The 26,256-nt window shown below is 38.1% G+C and overlaps 1 long non-coding RNA gene across 1 annotated transcript; it reads right to left on the bottom strand.

Annotated features, from left to right (window-relative positions):
• Positions 1–213: 213 nt before the first annotated feature.
• LOC107986782 (uncharacterized) lies at positions 214–5,418 on the bottom strand. The gene is made up of 3 exons (XR_001745161.3): positions 5,179–5,418; positions 2,556–2,685; positions 214–1,692 (listed from the first exon to the last, which is right to left on the bottom strand). It is a non-coding gene; the product is annotated as an uncharacterized LOC107986782 (long non-coding RNA).
• Positions 5,419–26,256: the final 20,838 nt, after the last annotated feature.

Below are 26,256 nucleotides of genomic sequence, written 5' to 3'. Positions count from 1 at the left end.
AGCTCAGCATGCGCTCTGGAAGCCCTGGCCCTCAGTCTCACGCACTTGGCACTATAGCCTAGGCCGCTTCCTCTTAGAAAAAAAAAAAAAGAAAAGCCACAGAGGCACAGGTATGTCTGATGAAAAACAAAGATTAATTAAGGAATGGCTTCTACATTATGAAAAGATTCACTACAGGGTTCCTTTAAATAACCAGCTCCCCTAGTGCTTTTATTATGTAGGTCGCTTTACAAAAAAAAAGTAAATGTACAAAAAAACTTTTCAAGATGATATTTGCTACATAAAGCAAAGCACACATTAACATGCCTCTGAACCATTATCTGGGCTGCAGAAACAGACTGCAAGGCTGGTCAGCTGGGCAGAACCTCCATGGGACCAGGGAGCACAGGTCACCTACATAGCCGGCACTGGCCACCAAGGATTTCAAAGAGCAGGGTGAGAACAGGAGACCCAGGCTAACAGGAAGTCAGTGATAGGAATGCTACAAAGAAGGGGGCTCCTGGCAAGTTACTTTTTCGGGGCTGTGATTTTCTTTCCTGCCAAGAAGGAGGTATGGGCCCCTCTCTCTTTCCCAAGTCAGTGGGCACACGTTTCCCTGGCCCCATTACCTGACTCCCTGAGCCGGCACCCTAGGAAGGGAGCTGGCTCACACTGGCCCAAACTCCTTCATTCTGCAAAATGCAACTGCCTTCTTCCCGGGCTTTTTCTCACTGATCCTTTTCATCAGCTTTTCCTGGAAGAGGTCTCCTCCCTGGTCCTCCAGTGTGACTGACACCCAGACTGAACTAAGAGTCAATCCTCTATGGCCCCTGGATTCATATAGCTACATCATTGCCTTATATAGATGGTATTATGTGTATTATAATTGTGATTTTAGCTAATGATAATTTTCACATATTTAATAATTTAATGGTATAACATTATAATTATATATATGTGTATTTGTCTCCCAGCCTAGGCTATGCTTCTTCAGTGCAGGGATGACATCTGATTCACCTCTGTACCTCCACTGGCTAGGACAATACCTGACAATAAATGGGGTTGAAGTATTCTGCTTTCATAGAAAAGAACAAGAATATAATTTTTCAAGATTAGGTTATTAATTGTTGAGGCCTAATGTGTAACATCAAAAGTACAGTTTTAACATGACAGTAAGATTGTCTAACTGTTATATTTCAAATCCGGTCTGCCCCACTCCCCCAAAACGCCTTGGTCAAATTATTTCATAATTAAAATAACTAAAAGAAAACTTTCCTATTTCTTTCTATAATGTTATGCTGTTAAAGAAGGCATGTCAAAATCCCACATCACCTTTGATAGAATTCCAGAAGATAACCCTTTGCGATTCCAACCCACATTCCCTTCCATTTTCAATTAAAGAAAGAAAAAAAAAACTGAGGTGAAAAGTTAAATTAGAATAATATTGCTGTGTATACAGTTTTTCCCCCATTTCCAGTGTTTTTCTCCTCAATGCGTGCAATTGGTAATTAAATATATTTCTGCTGGTCTTGTGGCCATATGCCTACAATATGTAAAAATACATTTGCGCTTTTTTCCCTCCATTCCTTTTGTTCCCAGTGCTGACTGCTGTCAGAGTGAGCCGTCCAGATTCCCGTGTGCTGGTATCCATGGGCTCTGTCTTGCCAAGCTGCCAGTCTGGAGCGTCACACCTTACTGCCTTTAAAGATTGCCCTGCAGAGATAGAGGGAAATGGCAATTTTTACATGATGCAGTCTGGCGACCCAAGAGATTTGAAGTCAGAACTGGTGCCAAGATTTACCCAGGAGAGCAAGCAGAGGCAGAAACAGAGAACTTGGGCCAAAAGGAAAAAAATAAAAAGAAGAAAGAAGGGAAAGACTGGGGGATGGGAAACCACAGTCAACTGTCTCTGGGGGTTCTCTCAAAAGGCCTGGACCAAAGGCCACAGAGAGGGTGAAGGCCGTGTTTTTAGGAGTATATGGCTCCTAAAGAAAGTCAAAGGGAAGAGGTCGGGTTTTTTTGCATGTCCTAAATTGTAGTAGATTGCAGAATGTAAATGAGACAATTATTACACCAGCGCTCATCAAGCTGGGCTGGAAAGACTTCAATAGCCTGATGAATATGCATGCAAATTTGTTAATTAAGTTAATTATTCTGCTGAAAATTCATTTGTCTTCCAAGGACATTTTCCCAATGATTTTAACATGCTAGCGCCATTAGTCATGCTCCATGCTATTTAACATTACTTTTTGTCCACTTTCTTTCCCCCAACCCTATTTTAAAAAATATTTTAAAGTTTTAAAAAACAGTTGATTGGTTCTTTTAATTGACCCCTGCAATGTTGGAAGATGCCTAGAGCCGGCTTGGTAGGCATTCTCAGAAGCGCGTTTCAATGAAATATTTCCTTGATATATAAAATGTTTGCAAAATGTCACATTGGTGGGGAGGAGAAGAGCTCTATCTGGGATCATTAAAGCTAGGATTTGAATTGTTCTCCATAGTGACTGTAAGAGGTAATCTGTCCCTGCTGTGGGCGATTTCCCAAGCTCTGAGTGTTATCTGATGCACGGATTTACCTTGCTGTGGGAAGTGTGGTGATTCCAAGCCTCCTCTCTTCTTGGGCTGCAAGGCGAAACCCAGAGAACATGTGTGTTCAAAGAGGAACCAGAACTCTGGTACTTTTCTGTCACCCATGAGGGCCCAAACCTGTTACAATGGCAACAGAGGGGAATAGTATGTTTAAAATCACATCCAAATGACAAATTGAGATATTTGAAAGAAACAGTCGAGTTTAATTTTGATAGCCAAGAGTAGCCAACAAATAGTATGATGGTATTTTTTAAAACTGCATGTTATTTTGCTGGGTAAAGCAGGTTTATTATATAACAGGCCTTCATCGTGGCCTCGAAATTGGAATCTTTAGAGGTCTGGGTGAGTTGTATTCAACCAGATTCTTGATCTTAAGGCACATAGACACACATGAAGCAGCCTATTTCAACCTCCCAACATTCTACGTAGAGAGATTATAGCGTCCCATCCCAACTCAGAAATCAGAACGTGCGGTCTGACAAATCTAGGTGTTCTTAGTGGGACAGTAAGGTAGACATTTAAATCAAGACTATTCCAGGAAATCAGAGAAATATGGCTGCCTGCACACATAAGGCAATCATCATTAGAAGGAGAAAGATTAATCTACACATCACTTGAGGGGACAGCCATATGCATGCTTAAAGCTTGTTTTAAGATTATTTATTTTCTTTGGAATGAAGGTAAATTCAGATTCTCTATCCCTTAGTCACAAAAGAAACTCTCCAATATGATCTCAGCTTACAACCTGTATCTTCACAGTCAGGGTTGATCAGACTCCCTGCGAGCCAGGCTAATGAAAAAGGAAGAAAATAATGAAGAAAACTAAACTTAATTGAAAGAGTTAAAAAGAAATTAATTGGTATGCCATCTCTTTTGAGCCATTCGTATCTATTTTATACAGTATGAATGGCACTACGTGTCACATAGATCGTAAACCAATTAAGATGATATTTTAAACCCTGTAATTTCTATAATTCCATCTGTTTTAGAAGGTTTAATTAGCAAAGTTACAAAAGCCAAATATATTTGAATATTTTGAAAGCAGGCCGAATGGCAAAAAAATGAAAAGTTCCCATAAACATTTAACTACACAACCATGTACATTTCATGAAAATATACTTCAGATGTACTTTAAAATGATACATGTGGGTTTTTCTAAATTTTACCAACAATAAACCGCATCCGAGGGAAATTATGATCATATGTTGTTAGGCTGTGTAAATTAATTCAGTTTTGTTGTTGTTTTTCATCATACTTAGAGATTTCTTCTGATGAAAACCCCTTACCTGTGATTTAATTGTGGGCCCAAAGTAGTAAGAGCTCCATAAAACTAAACACTTATTGAATTCTTTCATTTAAATGTCCTTTCCATAGGCTTAAAAGAGAGGTTTGCCATTTTGCAAGGAAAAGGAAATATTTTTCAGATGTATCCAAAATATTTTCAGTCTACCAGTAACCTATTTTTGAGAAATAAGAGTACATGGAAGTGTGTTATCTTTAAAATGTAAACACAAAATCTAAAGGTACAAATTTGATAATTTAGCCCCTTTCTTCACTATTGAAGGAAAATATTATTTTGAATTTTTAAAATTAGGCCAAACATGAGATCCTGCCATGTCCTTTGGTTTGGTGCTGTGCTGAGCAGCTGTGCACTATCCAGGGCCTCATATGGCCCAGTCACCAATGACTGACAGTACGATAGTGATAATGTGACGCCCAATATTCTCTCTTCTCAAAATGCCTGCCGCACCGCGATTGTGACGCAGTGGGTGTCCAGTCCTGTCTTTCCTTCCTACTGGATTTCTGACATATAACAAGGTGTAATTAATTTTTTTATATGCTTGTCTTTTTCATTACCAGAAACACAGTGAGCATAATTTATCATTAATTCTATTCATATTCTGTACTACTTGGATAAACTACTTTTGTTTCCATTTGCATTAAATACTGTCAAGTGATAAAAAAAAATGGCTAATAAAGGAAAAGGGGAATCGAACCTATGTTCAGCATATATATCACTCTAGAAAACTGACGGATCTACTATACTGGCACGTGTTTTATGTGCGTCACCTCTTTTAACCCTTGCATCAACCATCCAAGAAAGGTCTAATTATCCCCATTTGACAAGTGAAGAAAGCAAAACTCAGAAAGATGAAGACCCTTGCTTAAGTAATGACAAGAAAGAAATCAAAAAAATTCCAATAAGCAAGTAGCAGGAGCAAGTTTGAGAGCCAGAAAACACATCTAGATTATTTATTTTACTCCAAAGCTTTTAAGTATTTTAATGTACCTGGCTACTACTACCACTTTTTAAAAACTCACCTTGGAAGGCCATGATATAGCCAACACTTAATATTTTTAGTATATATCAGCATCTACGTTACTTACAAAACACTTCCTGGATTTCCCATCTTTTATTTCATTTTATTATATTGTATTAACTTTTACTCTCTTATGGAGTTCCTATCTTTGAAAAGGACTATCCTTTCTACTTTGGAGCAATTTGAATTAAAAAAAAAAAGATAGTGAATTATCCCAAGAAGAAGTTTAAATAGATTTTGTTTGCAAATCGTTCAGCAGTTGCAGGGGGCATCTGCTCGTTTGCCTCACCTGCCCTTCTCATTCTTTCCATCTGCACGTCCTCCCCACCTGCCATGGGCTGTCACCAGAAGCAGGGGTACTGGGAGTCCTGAAGAGAGGAACTGAGGAAAGAGGTGCTTTCTCCTTCTAAATGATGAGAAATAAGGGTCCATGGAACTCCTGGGGGCCATCTTTGTTGCTGCGATATATGAGATCTGTCCTGATAAAACCAACACGACAGGAACACGTTTTGTAACGTAGGGAGAAAGACAGACAAAGAGAGATACAGGGTCAGAAACTTGATGTCAGCACAAGTGGTCTGAAACTTCTTAGTGACAGGAGCCTAAAAGTCTCCCCCTCCACCCCCAAACCCCCTCCCCACTTAAGGTACTTACAGTTGGCTAATTATGCTAACTAATATAGGCATCATGCAAAAATCAGAAGAAATATACACACTAATTTATATTTCTTAATTCTACAGTATTTTTTATTCAAATTTCCTAGAGGCAAAAGTGGATCAATATATCAAAAGATCCATATGCATTGATTTTTAAAAGGTTACTCCACTAACCCATCTTTAATTATCTATGTCATTTGTAATCATTTATCTCTATTTTCCAAACATTTCAATAATCATAATGAATCACCCATCCACTATGAAAATGTATCAATTTGTAATTACATGCCAGAGTCAAGTTCTTATACAAAACAGATTGGCCATGAGACAATACTGAGTCTTTTATAGTCCATACCTGAACATGTAACATTTTGAGTATGTCATTTGGAAATAATCTTTGTGAACTACGAGCTAAATACTTCTGACCGAACAATCCACTCTGCACCTTGAACTTCTTAATTTGCCTAGGCAGAATTTGCCAATGAATTTAACAAAAATTGATGTTACGCTCATCTTTCTAAAGTTCTAAACAGGATCTAAAACTTTATTACACCCTAAGGAGTTAATGTTCCTCTATTTTGTCAGAAATATTTGAACCATATTTTATAATACTTAAAGAATCTAACAATATATCATCAGAGGACTGGATTAGCAAGCAGTAGAAACAGTATAGGGTCTTAGAGACTGAAGTCAGATTACGGATTATACAGGTTCAAATTCTGAACCTATGCTCTATCACTTACTAGCATTTGGTGTGACTTTACTTCAGCTGTCTCTACCTCAGTTTTTTCATGTCCCAACTTGGGATAATAATAGTTTCCACCTCATAAAGTTGTTGTGATTACAAAATGAGTTAATAATTGTAAAGTGTTTGAAACAGTGCCTGGCACATAAGCAGTGGAATAGGCATACTAATGGAATAGACTACTTTATGGTACTCCTTCTACCTTATAGCAAGACTAAGCAAAAAGAACAAATCTGAAGGCATCACACTACCTGATTTCAAACTATACTATAAGGCCATAGTCACCAAAACAGCATAGTACTGCTATAAAAAGTGGGGAAAGGACACCCTTTCAACAAATGGTGCTGGGATAATTGGCTAACCACATGTAGGAGAATGAAACTGGATCCTTATCTCTCACGTTACACAAAAATCAACTCAAGATGGAGTAAGGACTTAAGTCTAAGGCTTGAAGAAAAATTCTACAAGATAACATCGGAAAAACTCTTCTAGACATTGGCTTAGGTAAGGACTTAAATCTAAGGCTTGAATAAAAATTCTAGAAGATAACATCGGAAAAACTCTTCTAGACATTCGCTTAGGTAAGGATTTCATGATCAAGAACCCAAAAGCTGGATGAGATTGGAGACTATCATTCTAAGTGAAGTAACTCAGGAATGGAAAACCAAGCATTGTATGTTCTTACTGACATGTGGGAGCTAAGCTATGAGAACGCAAAGTCATAAGAATGATACAATGGACTTTGGGACTTGGCGGGAAGAGTGCGGGGATGAGGGATAATAAAAGACTACAAATAGGGTGCAGGGTATACTGCTTGGGTAATGGGTGCACCAAAATTTCACAAATCACCACTAAATAACTTACTCACGTAACCAAATACCACCTGTACTCCAATAACCTATGGAAAAATAAAAAAAAGAATATTCAGCAGTTAGCTAGCTAGTGCAATCAATGCTAACAGTATATAAAATCCTGGCTAACATTCCTATTTCTCAGTAGGTATGTATTTGCAAGAATTATCCAAATAGCTGGCTCCAATCTAAATCTGTTTGAATGTAGTATTTTTCACATACCAGGTCTACTTTTTAAAAAGTTCTAATCTATTTTCTTATCATCTTAAAAATGTATTGTGGAAGATGGCTGACTAGAGGCATTTCATACTCACCTCCTCAATGAAGAAGAACTGAAATAGTGAGTAATCACCTTTCAAATAGATCATGCAAGAAAGAACACTGGAATTCCACAGAAAAGTGACAGGAAATACCTAAAGCAAGGAAGGAGAAGGAACCAGGCAGCCTGCTCAGATGGGGTAAGCTGGGAGCTGAGAAAGACTCCCCAGTCTGGGAAAGGGAAAAGTGAGAGACCCTCAGCAGTTCACATCCCCAACAGTTCTAGCCTGCAGTTCTAGCCATGGGAGATCCTCTCAACACTCACGGGGCCTGAAGCTAATAACACAGAGAGGAGCTGGGAGGTTCCCAACCCACCAGCCTAGGCTGCTGGCCACTGAAGGCAGTACCACCCTTCCCAGTGGCAGGGGCAGTGGCACAGCTGCTGTTGCCCCACAACCCAAGCATTCTGCCTGACTGTGAGCGCAGATGCCAGCCATGGCCCTGTCCCTGCCACCCAAGGCTGGCACCTGCACTCTCCATCAGGAGGCCTGAGGATAAACGCACCCAGCCAGGCTTTGCCCTCACTCCATGCCAAAGCACAGAGTCTGGCCACGGAGTCTACCTCTGTTGGTAACTCAACACTCCTGAGTGTTGGGCGTAGCACAATCAGGCTAGCACACTCTGCCCCGCCCAGTCTACCTCTGTTGGTACCTGAAGATTCCTGAGATTGGGCCTAGCACCCGGGTGCTATCACCATAGCTGGCACCTACCTGTACTTGCCATCTGTGGGCCTGGTGACTTATGTACCCAGCCCATTACAGCCATGGCCAACAGCAGCATGCATTACTCAGGACTCAGAGGGCTGCCCCACCACTACCACTGACATCACCCATGCCACACCTGCTGTCCAGGGGCCCAAGAATAGACCCACTGCTGGAACTATCGGCATCTGAGTAAGCCACCTGTAGGTCAAAGAAGTAATCTTCCTAGATCCAGTAACATATGGGCATATGCTTTCCTGGGTCCCAAGGACAGACATGCTCAGCCCACTGCTGCCACCAATGGGGCCAGAAGACTGACCTACCTGGCATCTCAGTCCCCAGAAAAACTTCACCACAGCTTTCACTAATAACAGCATTTTAAGCCATCAAAGAAATCACAGACACCACCAGTGCTGTTCATAGCTGAAGAAATCATACAGAGACTACACTGCTGCACAAAACCAGAATAAGAGCAAAAGTGTCCTACCCAACTGTATTAGTTTGTTTTCATGCTGCTGATAAAGCCATACCTGAAACTGGGAACAAAAAGAGGTTTAATTGGGCTTACAGTTCCACATGGCTGAGGAGGCTGCAGAATCATGGCAGGAGGCAAAAGGCACTTCTTACATGGTGGCGATAAGAGAAAAATGAGGAAGCAAAAGCAGAAACCCCTGAAAAACCCATCAGATCTCATGAGACTTATTCACTATCATGAGAATAGCACAGAAAAAACCAGCCCCCATGATTCAATTACCTCCTCCTGGGTCCTTCCCACAACAAGTGGGAATTCTGGGGGATACAATTCAAGTTGAGACTTGGGTGGGGACGTGGCCAAACCATATAATTCCTCCCCCGGTCCCTCCAAATCTCATGTCCTCACATTTCAAAACTAATAATGCCTTCCCAACAGTCCCCCAAAGTCTTAACTAATTTCAGCATTAATTCAAAAGTCCACAGTCTATAGTCTCATCTGAGACACAGCAAGACCCTTCTGCCTATGAGCCTGTAAAATCAAAAGCAAACTAGATACTTCCTAGATACAATGGGGGTACAGGTATTGGGTAAATACAGCCATTCCAAATGGGAGAAACTGGCTAAAACAAAGGGGTTACAGGGCCCATGCAAGTCCAAAACCCAGCGGGGTAGTCAAACTTTAAAGCTCCAAAATGTTCTCCTTTGACTCCAGGTCTCAAATCCACATCACGCTGATGCAAGAGGTGGGTTCCCATGGTGTTGGGCAGCTCTGCCCCTGTGGCTTTGCAGGGTACAGCCTTCTTTCTGGCTGCTTTCATGGACTGGCATTGAGTGTCTGCAGCTTTTCCAGGATCACAGTGCAAGCTGTCAGTGGATCTACCATTCTGGGGTCTGGAAGATGGGGGCCCTCTTCTCATAGCTCCACTAGGCAGTGCCCCAGTAGGGACTCTGTGTGGGGGCTCTGACCCCACATTACCCTTCCGCACTGCTTTAGCAGAGGTTCTCCATGAGGGCCCCGCCCCTGCAGCAAACTTTTGCCTGGACATCCAGGTGTTTCCATACATCTTCTGAAATCTAGGCAGAGGTTCCCAAACCTCAATTCTTGACTTCTGTGCACCGGCAGGCTCAATACTATGTGGAAGCTGCCAAGGGCTGGGGCTTCCACCCTCTGAAGCCACATCCCAAGCTGTACATTGGCCCCTTTCAGCCATGGCTGGAGCAACTGGGACACAGGGCACCAAGTCTCTAGGCTGCACACAGCACAGGGATCCTGGGCCTGGCCCACAAAAACCACTTTTTCCTACTGGGCCTCTGGGCCTCTGATGGGAGGGGCTGTCATGGTCTCTGACATGGCCTGCAGACATATCCCCCGTGGTCTTGGGGATTAACATTAGATTCCTTTCTATTTATACAAATTTCTGCAGCTGCCTTGATTTCTCCCCAGAAAATGGATTTTTCTTTTCTACCACATGTCAGGCTGCAAAGTTTCTGAACTTTTATGCTCTGCTTCTCTTATAAAACTAAATGCCTTTAACAGTACCCAAGTCACCTCTTGAATGCTTTGCTGCTTAGAAGTTTCTTCTGCCAGCTGCCAGATACCCTAAATCATCTCTCTCATGTTCAAAGTTCCATAAATCTCTAGGGCTGGGCAAAATGTCGCCAGTCTCTTTGCTAAAGCGTAACAAGAGTCACCTTTACTCCAATTTCCAACAAGTTTCTCATCTCCATCTGAGACCACCTCAGCCCGAACCTTAATGTCCATGTCACTATCAGCATTATGGGCAAAGCCATTCAACAAGTCTCTAGTAAGTTCCAAACTTTCCCACATTTTCTTGTCTTCTTCTGAGCCCTCCTAACTGTTCCAACCTCTGCCTGTTACCCCGTTCCAAAGTTGCTTCCACATTTTTGGATATCTTTCAGCAATGTCCCAATCTACTGGTACCAATTTACTGTTTTAGTTCATTTCCATGCTGCTGATAAAGACATCCTGAAACTGGGAACAAAAAGAGGTTGGATTGGACTTACAGTTCCACATGGCTGGGGAGGATGCAGAATCATGTCAGGAGGTGAAAGGCACTTCTTACATGGCGGTGGCAAGAGAAAAATAAGGAAGAAGCAACAGCAGAAACCCCTGATAAACCCATCAAATCTCATGAGACTTATTCACAATCACAAGAATAGCATGGGAAAGACCAGCCCCCAGGATTCATTTACCTCCTCCTGGGTCCTTCCCACAACACATGGGAATTCTGGGAGATATAATTCAAGTTGAGATTTGGGTGGGGATACAGCCAAACCATATCACCAACCAACACCATAGATACATCTTCAGGAAGTAGTTCTCCCTTATGTAAGAAAATTCCAAAAATTGGAAGAAGTGACTATCATACCAGATGTACAGATATCAATGTAAGGACACAGGAAACATGAAAAAGCAAGGAAATATGACACCTCCAAAGGAAAAAAATAATTCTCCAGCAACAGCCAATTCACAAAGTCCTGGAAAATGAATTCAAATTATTGATTCTTAAGAAGCTCAGTGAGATAAATAAAAATTCTGAAAAACAATGCAAAGAAATCAGAAATAACTGTTCAAATTATGAATGAAAAATCTACCAAAGAGACAGATGCCATAAAAAACAACCAAACAGAAATTCTAGAACTGAAGAATTTATTGAATGAAATACAAAACACATTTGAGATCTTCAACAATTGACTAGATCAAGAAGAAAGAATCTCAGAACTTCAAGACAGATATTTTGAAAAAATAAAGAAAATGAATAAAAAAGAATAAGCAATGCCTCCATGACATATGAGACACCACAAAGTGACCAAATTTTTTAATCACTCAGGTCCTGGAAGGTAAAGAGAGAATGAAAGGATTAGAAAATCTATTTAATGAAATGATAGATGAAAGCATTCCAAATCCAGAAGAGATTTAGACTTCCAGATACAGGAGGCGCTGAGATTCCCAAATGGATACAATGCAAAAAGATCTTCTCCATGGCACATTTTAGTCAAACTGTCTGAAGTCAAACACAAAAACAGAATTCTAAATATAGCAAAAGATAAGCATTAAGTCACCTATAGAGGAACCCCCATCAAACTAACAGTGCATTTCTCAGCAGAAACCTTACAGGTCAGGAGAGAATGAGATGATATACTCAAAGTGCTGAAAGGAAAAAAATAACTACCAGCCAAGGATACCACATCTAGCAAAATTATCCTTCATAAATGGAGAAGAAATAAATTTCTTTGCAGAGAAGCAGAAGCTAAGAGAATGCATCATCACTAGACCAGCCCCACAAGAAAAGTTCAAGGAAGTCCCATATCTGGATGCAAACAGTTGACACTTATCATATCATGAAAATACACAGGCCAGTCATGTGACTCATGCCTGTAGTTCCAGCACTTTGGGAGGCCAAGGTGGGCAGATCACTTGAGATCAGGAGTATGAGACCAGCCTGGCCAACATGGTGAAACCCCATCTCTACTAAAAATACAAAAAATTAGCTGGGTGTGGTGATGCACACCTGTAATCCCAGCTACTCAGGAGCCTGAGGAGGGAGAATCGCTGAAACCCTGGAGGCGGAGGTTGCAGTGAGCCAGTATCGTGCCACTGTACTCCAGTCTGGGCAACAGAGCGAGACTTCGTCTCAAAAAAAAAAAAAAAAAATACACAAAAATATAAAACTCACTGGTAAGCCAAATGTTGACACAAATGAGGAAAAGAAAGAACTCATATGGTATACAAACCACCAAACCACAATAACAATAAAAGTAAAAGAAAGAAACAAAGAATATACAAAACAACCAGTAAACAATTAAAAATATGAGAAGAACAAAACCTTACATATCAATAATCACTTTGAATGTAAATAGATTAAATTATCCACTTAGACTGGCTGAATGGGTAAAAGAAAAACATAATTTAATTATATGTTGCCTACAAGAAATGCACTTTGCCTGTAAAGACAAAAATATACACATACATGGAAATTAAATAATAAGCTACTGAACAGCAATTGAGTAAATGAAGACATTAAGATGGAAATTTTAAAGTTTATTGAAACAAATAAAAATGGAAACACAACAAACCAAAACCTGTGGGATACAGAAAATGCCATGCTAAGAGGGAAGTTTATAGCAATAAATGCCTACATCTAAAAAGTAAAAGGATTACAAAGTAACAATTCAACAATGCACCTCAAGGAAATAGAAAAGCAAGAACAAACCAAAACCAAAATTAGCAGAAGAAAAAAATAATAATAAAGATCAGAGCAGATGATCAATGAAACAAAAATTTTGGTTATTGGAAGAGTTAAACAAAATTGATAAACTGCTAGTTAGACTAATCCAGAAAAGACCCAAATAAACATACAAAAGGAGACATTACAACTGATACCACAGAAATATAAAAGATCATTAAAGACTATTATAAACAAATATAGGCTGACAAACTGGAAAACCTAGAGGAAATATATAAACCCCAGGAAATACACAACCTACTATGACGGAGTCAGGAAAAAATAGAAAACCAGAACAGACCAATAATGAGCAAGACTCAATCAGTAATAAAAAGTCTCCCAACAAAGAAAAGCCCAAGACTTGATGGATTCATAGTTGAATTCAACCAAATGTTTGAAAAGCTAATACCAATCCTCCTGAAACTATTCAAAAAAAAAAATTGAAAGGAAGGAATTCTCCCAAACTCATTCTATGAGGTCAGCATCACCCTGAGACCAAAATCAGACAAGGACATGACAAAAAAAGAAAACACGGATCAATATCCCTGATGAACATAAACACCAAAATCTCAACAAAATACTAGCAAACTGAATTCAACAGCACTGCAAAAAGATCACATACCATAGTCAACTGAGATTTATACCAGGGATACAATTATGGTTTCACATACACAAATCGATAAACATGGTACATCGTGTCAACAGAATGAAGAACAAAAGCTATATAATCAGCTCAATAGATGCAGAAAAAGCTTGTGATAACACGCAACATCCCTTCATAATAAAAACTCTCAACCAACTAGGCATAGAAGGAACAAACCTCAAAACAATGAAGAGAATATATGACAAACCCACAGCTAACATCATACTCAATGAGAGAAATTGAAAGCCTTTTCTCCAAGAACTAGAACAAGACAAAGATGTCCACTTTTACCACTCCAATTCAACATAGCATTGGTCCTAGACAGAGCAATCAGGCAAGAGAAAGAAATAAAATTCACCCAAATTGGAAAAAAATAAATCAAATCATCTCTTTTTGCAGATGACATGATCTTATAACTTAAAAAGCCAAAAGACTTCCTCAAAAAAACTCTTAGAGTTGATAGGCACATTTGGTAAAGTTATAGGATATAAAATTAACATAAAAAATTAGTAGCATTTCTATACACCAATAATGAAATAGCCAAAAAAGAAATGTAAAAAGCAATCCCATTTACAATAGTTAGAAAAAATACATAGTAATAAGTTTAATCAAGGAGGGGAAAGAGCTCTACAAAGAAAACTACAAAACACTGATGAAAGAAATTTAAGAGGACACAAACAAATGGAAAGACATTCCATGATCATGGAATGGAAGAATTAATATCATGAAAAGGACCCCACTGCCCACAGCAATATACAGATTCAATGCAATCCCTATCAAAACACCAACGCAACTTTTTACAGAAATAGGAAAAACATCCTAAAATTCATATGTAAATAGAAGAACCAGGGTAGCCACAGCAATGCTGAGCAAAAAGAACAAAGCTGGAGCCATCACACTACCTGACTTCAAATTATATTACAAGGCTATCATAACCAAAACATCATGGTATTAGTATAAAAATAAGCACATAGACCAATGGAACAAAATAGAGAACACAGAAATAAATCCACATATTTAAAGCCAACTGATTTTTGACAAAGATGTCAAGAACATATAGTAAGGAAAGGATACCTTCTTCAATAAATGGTGCTGGCAAAATTGAATATCCATATGCAGAAGAATAAAACCAGACCCCTATCTCTCATCATATACAAAAATCAACCAAGATGAATTAAAGACCCAAAGGTAAGATTCAAAACTATAAAGCTACTAGAAAAAAAAAAAAACAGAAAAAACACCAGGACATTGATCTAAGTGAAGATTTTATGGCTAAGACCTCAAAAACCTCAAAAGTATAGGCAACGAAAACAAATATAGACAAATTGTACTATATTAAACTGAAAAGCTTCTGTACAGCAAAGGGAACAATCAGCAGAGTGAGGAGACAAACTATTGAATGGGAGAGAAGGTTTGCAAAACAGTCACACGACAAGGAACTAATATCCAGAATATATGGGGAACTCAACAAAACAAAAACAAGTGATGGCATTTAAAAGGGATTACAAGGACATGAATAGACTATTCTGAAAACAAGACATACAAATGGCCAACAGGTATATGAAAAGCTGCTCATCGTTAATCATCTACAAAGTGCAAACCAAAGACACAATGAATTATAATCTTATCCCAGTTATATTGGCTATTATTAAAAAGACAAAAAAGTAACAGACTGACAAGGATGCAGAGAAAAGAGAACACGTATACACTGTTGGTGGGAATGTAAATTAGTATAACCACTATGAAAAACAGTATGGAGATTTCTCAAAAAACTAAAAATCGATCTACCATACAATCCATTAGTTGCACTACTGGGTATCTATTCAAAAGAAAAGAAAGCATATCAAAGGGATACCTACACACTCAAGTTTACTGCAGCACTATTCATAATAACAAAGATATGGAAGCAAGCTATGTCTGTCAATGGATGAATGAATAAAGAAAGTGTGATATATATATACACAATGGAATACTATTTGGCCATAAAAGAATGAAATCATGTCATTTCCAGACAAATGGATGGAACCAAAGTTCATTATGTTAAGTGAAATAATCCAGGCACAGAAAGACAAACACTGCATGTTCTCACTCATATGTAGGTATTAAAAAAAACTTGATGATTGGAAGATAGAGAATAAAATAATAAACACCAAGAGCAGGAAAGGGTGTGAAAGTGGGGGTGGGAAATAGAAGTTGTTTAATGGGTACAAACTTAAAGTTAGATAGAAGTAAGTTCTAATGTTCCATTGTACACTAGAGTAACTACAATTAGCAACAATATATTGTATATTTCAAAATAGCTGGAAGAGAGAACCTGAAATGTTACCAACACTTAGAAATGATAAATACTCAAGGTGATGGATACCCCACATACCCTGACTTGAGCATGACATATTCTATGCATGTAAAAAATGCTCATATATTCCTCTGAAATATGTAAAAAGTTTATGTGTAAATAAAAGAAAACATTCATTGAGTATTTCCCATATGCAAGACACAGTATTGAGTATTTATGGGGTTTATACAGACAGATGTCATGGAGAAAATATAGATCCTTCCCTCTCATACTGAGAAAAAGGTGGGAAACTTATATTATGTACATGAAAAACCAGAGCACAATGTCTAAAGTGAGACATGCTGCAGAGATAGGTGTTATGGGATGAATTGTGCCCCACCCCCAAGATCACATGTTAAAGTCCTTACGCCAGTACCTCAGAATGTGATATACTGTCTTTAAAGAATTCACTGGGTTAATGTGAAGTCATTAATGTGGGCCCCATAAGCAGGTATCTTTATAAGAAGAGAAAATGTGGCCATAGACATACACAGAGGGAAACCCTTGGGAAGACACAGGGAGAAGGTGGCCATCTACAAGCCAAGTAGAGGAGCCTCAGAAGAAACTGATGCTGACAACACCTTGATCTTAGACTCCTAAGCCTCTGGAATTGTGAGAAAATAAATATCTGCTCTTAATCCACCAAGTCTTTGCTACTTTGTCGCAGAAGCCCTAGCAAACTAATATAAAGATAAAAGAAAAAAGAGTTCCACCTTGAGTTGGAGAACTGGAAACATCATTCCAGCTGGAAGGACAGGGAAAGCTTCATCTAGAAAGTGCCTTCTGTAATGGCCTTTGGAATAGAAGATGGCCACATAAAGCTGGGAAGTTGGGTGCTTTTCACAGTGAGAAGAGTATGTCAAGTACAGGGCTGCAAAAAACCACCAGAGTTAATGCTTTAACTAGGCTGAGTGGGAGAAAAGGCCAAAAGTACAGCTTAAGGCCAAGACAACAAGTTTGGATTTGATGCTGAATGCAATGGAAAGCCATTGAAATATTTTGGTGACAGTATAACAAAATCTGAACTGTGCTGGAAAAAGATTAATCTGAAAGTCACAGGGTGACCAGTTGGAAGAAGGAAGCAATTTGAGTTGAAAAAAGATGCCTCATAACCCAGTACAACAGAGTAGGGGATAAAGACAAAGATTCAGAAAAGACAGAGAGAGAAGAGGTGAAATCACTGGGACCTGACAGATGACTTTGCTATGGGAGGCAGGGAAAAGAAGAAGAACTGAGAGACAACTGGGAGGTTCCGATTTTGTTGTCTGGGAGGATGGGACGATGGAATTAATTCTAGAAACAGGAAGAGAAGAGAAAACCAGGTGTAGGAAGGAAAATGATCAATATAGTTTTAGAGATACTGAGGACTAACCATTTTAAATGTGATTGGAGATACACAACAGTAGATATGTAGATCAGAATTAAAGAATATATATGTATATATATGTGTGTATATATGTGTGTGTGTGTGTGTGTGTGTGTGTGTGTGTGTATGAGATGGTTTGGCCCTGTGTCCAAATCTCATCTTGAATTGTAATCCCGACGTGTCAAGGGAGGGACCTGGTGGGAGGTGATTGGATCATGGGGGTGGTTTTACCCCATGCTGTTCTGGTGATACTGAGGGAGTTCTCACGAGATCTGATGGTTTAAAAGTGACAGTTTTCTCTGTGTTCTCTCTCTTGCCACCATGAAAGATGTGCCTTGCTTCCCCTTTGCCTTCCACCATGATCGTAAGTTTCCTGAGGCCTCCGAAACCATGAGGAACTGTAAGTCAATTAAACCTCTTTTGTTTATTGATTCCCCAGTCTTAGGCAGCTCTTTACAGCAGTGTGAGAACAGATTAATATAATTACAATCTTTGTTTAGAAATATATAATATGCTGGCATCAGCTTTTGTTAAAGTATACTTATATTTGCTTGGGGCATCCCCAGGCTTAGAATTAAGGGTGGAGGTATGGATTTTAGATCATCATTGGAGCCGTGAGAGGGAGTTAAATTGCCAAGAGAAATAAAAGAAAAACAGAAAAATTAATTTGTACAAAGAACTTGGGGAGTATTTAGTGACAAGAGTCAAAAGAAAAGTAGTGCACTCTTTGAAAGGTAATTTTACTTGTCAGAAAATATCTACTTGGCCACTGTAGTAGTTCCAGAACCTTGAAGAAGATCCCCTCCAAGTGTACCCATTAAAATGATTAAAATTTTGAATAGAACAGATAAAAGGATATCCCCTGTTTATGTAGTAAATTAGATCCCTTTACACTTGCATTACCAGAAGGGAAAACAGGAATCTCAATTTCTTCTTAGTTACAGTAAATACAAATAAAAGTATCAAAAATCAAAGAACTTAGTGTTTACTAGCTATTGCTCACCTCAAAATTTCCTTTAGGGGTAGGAAATACGTTTTTACAAAATTTAAAGAAAAAAATATTCAAAAAAAGTTTCAGAGAGTGTTGGTGCTAGAAGTTGAGCCGATCTCACCTCTTTCTCCCAAGAGGCAGAATTTAAATCAAAAAATTAAGTGTAAGTTGCATTATTAAACATTGGCTTTTTATATTTTTATCCTATCAATGCTTATAAAACTACTCTTTCTGGTGCATTACACAGTCTCCTCTCTGCTTCTCTCTGCACAAGGCTGCCCTATGGCTTGTGTGCTTAGCTACCCTCAGTTATAACCATATGTATTAACTGCCCAGTGCCCATCTGACCTGCTGTGGGCAGAGGGGCAGAATCTGTCCCAAGCTACAAACCTGATTGCCAGGAGCTCAGAGTTGTAACTGCAGAGAAGGCAATGTTCATAGAAAAGATAGACTGAGAAGGTCCCCAAAAGATAGTTTCCTCATTGATGAGGGGACTTGCCTTTAAATACTTTAGATTGCTGAAACCCTTAAGCTTAGAAGAGATAATGATTATCTCTTATATAAGTGGATTTATGAACAGTTGTAAGCTTTATAGGGTAGTGAGCTTTCTGTGCATACTTGGTTATTATAGAAAGATTTACACTAAATATCAATTAATTTAAAATTAACTTACAAATCCAAGAGAGTTGAACTTTTTATATTGAAAATCATAGTGATAACATCTATTTTACTTTCTAATGAATGTTAAACTTTAACGTGAAAGTGGTCTAAATAAACAATTAAATCAAAACCCTGCAATCCTTAATAGTCAAAGTTTCAGATAGAATTAAATCTAAAATAGACAAATTTCTATCATACTGAAAGTCATTCCACAAAGAGGCCCCCTAACATATAGGCATAGCTTGTTTTATTGTGTTTTGCAGATATTGGGTTTTTTAAAAAACAGATTAAAGATTTCTGGCAACCCTCTGTGAAGCAAGACTATCGGTGCCATTTTTCCAACAGCATGTGCTCACTTTGTGTCTCTAAGTCACATTTTGGTAATTCTTGCACTATTTAAAATTTTATTATTATTATATCTGTTATTGTGACCTGTGATCAGTGATGTTTGATGTTGCTATTTAATTGTTTTGGGGTGCCATGAACCACACCCATATAAAACTGCAAACTGAATCAATAAATGTTGTGTGTTTTGATTGCTCCACTGACCAATCATTCCCTCATCTCTCCCTCTCCTCAGGCCTCCCTATTCTGTGAGACAAAACACTATTAAAATTGAGTCAGTTAATAGCTCTACAAAGGCCTCTAAGTGTTCAAGTGAAAGGAAGAGTTGCCCATCTCTCACTTTAAATCAAAAGCTAGAAATGATTAAGCTTAGTGAGAAAGGCATGTCAAAGTCAAGATAGGCCAAACCAAGGAAGAATTCTTGAAGGGAATTAAAATTGCTACTTCAGTGAAAACACAAATGATAAGAAAGCAAAACAGCCTTATTGGTAATATGAGAAAAGTTTTAGTGGTCTAGATAGAAGACCATACTAGCCACAATTATTCTCTAAACCAAAGACTAATCCAGAGAAAGGCCCTAACTCTCTTCAATTCCATGAAGACTGAGAGAGGTAAGGAAGCTGCTGAAGAAAAGTTTGAACCTAGCAGAGGTTGGTTTATGAGTTTAAGAAAAGAAGCTCTCTCTACAACATAAAAGTGCAAGGTGAAGTAGCAAGTGCTGATATAGAAACTGTAGCAAGTTATCCAGAAGATCCAGCTAAGGTCATTGTTGAGGGTGGCTACACTAAACCACAGATTTTGTCTGTAGATGAAACAGCCTTCTACTAGAAGAAAATGCCATCTAGGACTTTCATAGCTAGAGAGGACAAGCCAATGTCTGGCTTCAGGAATTGTGATTATGTTGAACCACTGCTGAATTATGATTCTAAAAATCCTAAGGCCATTTCTAAATCTACTCTGCCTGTGCTCTATAAATGGAACAACAAAGCCCGAATGATAGCTCATCTGTTTGCAGCATGGTTTACTGAATATTTTAAGCTCAGAAAAGAGATTCCTTTCAAAATATTACTGCTCATTGACAGTGCACCTAGTCATCCAAGAGCTCTCATGGAGATGTACAAGGATATTGATGTCGTTTTCATGCCTGCTAACACAACATCCATTCTTCAGCTCATGGCTCAAGAAGTCATTTCAATTTTGAAGTCTTATTAGGAAATACGTTTTGTAAGACCATAACTACCACAGATAGAAATTCCTCTGATGGATCTGGACAAAGTAAATCGAAAGCCTTCTGGAAAGGGTTCACAGTTCTAGATGCCATTAATAACATTTATGATTCAAGGGAGGAGGTCGTAATATCTACATTAACAGGAGTACTGAAGAAGTTGCTTGCAAACCTCATGGATGACTTTGAGGGGTTCAAGACTTCAGTGGAGAAAGTAACTGCAGATGTGGTGGAAATAACAAGAGAGCTAGAGGAAGTAAAGCCTGAAGATGTGACTGAATTGCTGCAATTTCATGGTAAAACAACATCAAAGATGTTGAAATGACAACAAAGGATTTAAAATATTCCATAAACTGAGTTGATAAAGCAGCAGCAGGGTTTCAGAGGATTGACACCAATTTTGAAAGAAGATCTACTGCAGGTAAAATGCTATCAAACAGCATCACATGCTACAGAGAAAACTGTAGTGAAAAGAAGAGCCAATGGATGCAGCAAACTTCATTGTTATCTTATATTTAAAAATTGCCACAGACACCCCAGCTTATAGCAACTACTACCCAATTAGAGCAGCCATCAACATTGAGGCAAGACCCTCCACCAGCAAAAATATTACATCTCGCTAAACATTCAGATAATCATTAGCATTGTTTAGCAATAAAGTATTTTAAATTGAGGTATGTGCATTGTTTTTTTGGGGGGAATATACTATTGCACATTCAATAGACTATGGTTTAAACAGAACTTTTATATGAATTGGGAAACCAAAAAATGTGTGTGATTCACTTTATTGTGACATTTCCTGAAACTGAACCTACAATGTCTCTGAGATATGTCTGTACTTCCTGTGTGTCTGCTTATATGATACCCAGAAATAGTTAACTAATAGAATATCAATTTAATGAGTACAATTTATTATTCTTATTGGAATACCTTTAATATCAATATCTATCAATCATTTGACAATAATTATTTGACATTTTAAATAAAACTTTAAAGCATGTATAAAATATAGATTTATAGGAAACACAGACCTTATAATGCAGTTAAAGATAATTCATTTTTTCTCTTTTGCAAATGGAAAATCAATAGCCAGGAAAAATTAAAAGTTTCATTTGTTTGACCAAATCAATTCATAGTCATTGACCTGAGTGTGTCTGTATATCTCCTTCTAAATAAGATTTGAAGAACTACTCTCAACAGATAGTGTATATTCAACAATTTTATTATAGAAATAGAAAGTCAGAGCCATGACTAGTAAAATAAGAAAAACATAAATGAAGATAAATCTGTAGAGAAAAAACAGAAAGCTAGGCATTCTATATTTCAGTAAATTCAAAGGATCAAGCTTCATATAAAGAAGCAAACCCCAAAATACATTTGCTAGTGCCCAATTATAGAACCATACGTCATGACTATCACAGGGATTCAGTTAAAGGACATTGAAAGGATTTTCCCTGCACCTGCCTTGTAGTGCATAACACTGGTACCTTGGGTGCTTACTGCAACCTTTTTCAGTAAAAAAATACTGAATTCAATACTTTATTGAATTCAACATCATAACCACAATAACATACCTCATCCCAACATTTCTCCCCACATAAAGCCTTTCGGAATATTTTTATATCAACAAGAAATGTCATTTTGGCACATTTTGGCACAATTAAACAGAATTTGTATGAAACCATGCTATCTTTCCAACTGTGTATGTACAGACCATGGTGTTAAATTTTCCTTTAAAAAATGGCAACTTTGATGTGTCTACAAGCATTGGTGACTCAGAGACAGAGGTGTTTAATTATAGCAGTGAAGGGATTAGTATGCATCTGTTCTACAAAGGATAATTTTAGTTAAATTTTGTCTATGTTGAGTGCATTGACATTGCAAGAAGAAAATGGTAAAAGGTTTCTGGAGATGCTTTTTGCTTTGGGGGTGGGGGATGGATAATTGGGTCAGTCAGATTCATATATTAAAGAATTGTCTGCCGGCTACTGCATTGGCTGTCACAGCCTGTCCCAATCAAGCATAACTGCAGATCTCAGAAAGCTGTCATTGATCAAAATAAAAATCCACACTTCATTTGGGTTCAAACAAAGAGCCAGTGGTAACATTGACAGTATATTTGATCACCAAGTGGGTAATAATTTAATATTCAGCTTAACTGTAGTATAGCTCATTAAAATGAAAAAGGGAAATCTTGGCCTTCTTTGAAATACAGATAGGTTTGAATTATTAGTCTCAATTTGAGAAGAAAAAGTGAGGCTGGAAGAATGAATGTAGGAGTGCTTCTCTGATGATGTTCCACCTCCAAAACAAAAAGAGCAAGAACAACAAAAACAACAAATATGCAAACATTCCTATCACAAAAATTTCTTTCTTCCGTAATCAATCAACATTTCCTGAAGACAAACATGTTTTTCTTCACAGTCTATTTAAACGGCTCAAAAACAGCATGACAACCGACAGACTCCCTTGTTAAAGAAAACAATTACTTGTAGTATAGGTTATTTTAATGGACATATCACTTTAAACGAAACCGTCACATCTGTTCCGCCTTCTAATTACAAATGCAAAAGGAATACAATTCACCAATGCATTATAAAAAAGTAAAACACAAGTGATTTAAATGCATATGTATGTTCCTTAGTCAATGCAGCATGCAACCTGCTATGTTTTTTACATGTTCTGGGCACAAATCAGATGGAAAACCTGTTCTCTGCTGAAATGTGATTTCTTCTCCCTGGATAAGTTTGGTACTGTATGGAAGCTGTGGTTTGCATAAATGTTATATAATGCACACAACACACCTAACAAGTGTTTCTAGTGAAACTCTTCCTGGGGACTGATATTTGATGATCAATATGATGCATCACAGCACTTTGATGCTGGCTGAGTACTAAAACATATTAATCTAGAGTACAGGAGAGACTCTCACTGATACATAAGAAATAATTTCTTTCTCTCTCTTCATAAAAGGGGAAAACATGAGAAATATTTCCATAGTGCTAGCCCCAATCGTCCTTGGTCTACAAGGCTGACTAAATAGCATTTACTGCTACCAAGTGACTGTTTAAAAAATTGTGTGCACTTTTCAGAGAATAGGGAAGTGGTATAATAGACATTGGTAAATGATGATATTATTTCTTTCTCAGAGATAATTTGCTCCTATTAAAAATAATCTCATTTAAAGAAAAGTTTTAAATGATGGAGATATTTTTCTGGACCTCTGAGTGGGTCAGGAAGGCAAGAATTTGATTAGAGTTAGAGATCAGGGAAGCAAAATTCCATGGTTAAATAAATGAGGACAAAGCAGCACAATCCAAGTGCCATGACATCAACGACAATCAAACTAACAATTCAACCTTCAGGCTAGAAAAATGTTAAGTTATTCTATCTTTTCCTGAATCCAGGTTGAATTCATCCAGGTTCCTTTGCCTGCTTTGTACCAAGACTGGGAGTGTGATGGGACGTGGTTGAATTCAGTTCTCTCTCTACTGAAAAGCATCTCAAAAGAGGAGGCCATCCTTATCCATGGGTGTACCCCATGACTGAGAACAGAACTTGACAAATATTAGCCAGTCAGGAAGTGTTTTTGAATGAATAAATGAATCTGAAAGTATAAGCAGGTAATTGACTGGTCCTGACAAAATTCTGCTTCCAAAGAGCCACTTTATGTCAAAATACTAAAGCAAGTGTTAATATAGTTTTCAATATGAGAGTAATTTTCCCCCTTAGTTTATTGTGCTGTATCTCCCACAAAATCTTTTAGTATCTCCCTCCTAAAATTGTTGGGAGGATACGATGAGATAATACAAGTAAAGCACTTAAAACAGTTCCTGGCCCATTGTTTCAAAATTCACTGAACACACACAAATACACCCCCACATACACACACACACACACACACACACACACACATGCATGTGTGTGTGTGTAATTGAGAGGCAATAGGCAAACATTTCACTTACTGTGCTTGGGAAATCTTAACTATATGTTTTTGATTTTCACCATGATGGAATATCTATTAAGTGCTAAGGATGCAGGGAATAAAAGAATTGGGACTCAGATCTTGGACTCCTGACTCCTGTGCTACGGATCTCTCCTGTCCACCAGAACCCACTGAACGTTTTTCTTTTCACATCTGCTTTGGTACCAGATGAACCAAAAGAGGCAGGTTATTGATCCTCCTCTTCAGACTCAGTGAACTCATCTGTAGATTAGCTGAAGGAACTAGTGGCTTATAGGGGTCTTTAGGCATGAATATTGCGGTTTGTAGGGTTTTACATAAGCAGTAATTAATTTTACAGTACTTCAGAAATCTGAGATATGAATATATTATTACCTATAAAAGATGAGAATTTCATGGGAGCTATGATGGAATGACTACTACTATTACTAGACAGACTTCAGGGATATTCCTGATTCTAGCAGTTTCAGGTAGTTTACTGTATCTGATTTTTTTTCAAAAATTGGGAAAACAAATGCAGACAACTAACAGTAATATTGGACATTCATGAATTTTACAAACGAACAACTATCTTTTATGCATCTATCATATGGAAACTTTCTTCTGTGTGAATAGAAAGAGGCACTAGAATTTTCACAGGAAGGTTATAATAAGACATTGACAGAATTAAGTTCATCCCCAGATAGCAGCATGCATCGGGTAAACTAGATTCTAACTAGTTATATGTGCTTCACAGACAGACTTTCCACGATGTTGTGGAAAATGACAGTGCTTTGAGGCAAATATGTGTAATGTGATAGGATTAGGTAAGTTTTCAATAAAACTGTGTATGTATACACAAATTAATACTAATGTTATGGAAACATCATCAGATACATATGCCCACCAAATTCATGACAGTGATCACCTTTTGGGCACAAATGGTCAGAGAGAAAATGTAATTGTTCAGATAAAATTTAAAATCTCTATGAAATGTGGATTCTGAAGGAAATATTACTGAAGTTTACACTTTTAGTATGGGGAGTGAGTATTACTAATAATAGGTAACCTTAATAGAACATTTACTATATGTCTGGCAATATTCTAAGCCAGTTATTCTCACCCTTAATATAAGCCATGGTTATTTTGTACACTTTTATCTATGACCCAAATAACTGACCCAAAGCCTGGTCAATTTCTGTATTTTTGGTGGTTTCTTTTATTTATTTATTTATTTATTTATTTATTTATTTATTTATTTGAGACAGGGTTTCACTTTGTTGTCCAGGCTGGAGGGCAGTGGTATGATCTTCGCTCACTGCAGCCTCAACCTCACAGACTTAAGCCATCCTCCCACCTCAGCCTCCCAAGTAGCTGGAACTACAGGCATGCACCACCAATTTTTGTATTTTGCCCAGGCTGGCCTTGAACTCCTGAGCTCAAGCAATCCCCTCGCCTTGGCCTCCTAAAGTGCTGGGATTACAGGTGTGAGCCACTGCACTGAGCCAGAGCCTGATCAATTTCTTATTCAATGATTAATTATAAATGTGCTTAAAAACCTGAATTTCCTAAATTTAATGGCTGCATTGGATACAGGCAGTTTCAAAATTCATTGAAAACAATCACACACACACACGCGCGCGTGTGTGTAACTGAAAGACAATAGGCAATCATCAGGTAAATTTTATACAGAGATCATTTACCATTGAGATACAATAGAAAATGAAGGTTAGGAGTATGGGCTTTATAAGAGCTGGCCAGTACTGTCTTAGAAAACCAACTTGTCTTTTCTTCTGTATAAGACTGGGTTTAACTTGCCTAAGCTTCTGTTTCCTCATCTGTAACATAAAGAATACCATTGCATAAG

This window comes from Homo sapiens, chromosome 7 (assembly GCF_000001405.40).
Source record: "Homo sapiens chromosome 7, GRCh38.p14 Primary Assembly".
NCBI lineage: Eukaryota > Metazoa > Chordata > Mammalia > Primates > Hominidae > Homo > Homo sapiens.
This window is presented reverse-complemented; position numbering and strand designations above follow the sequence as displayed.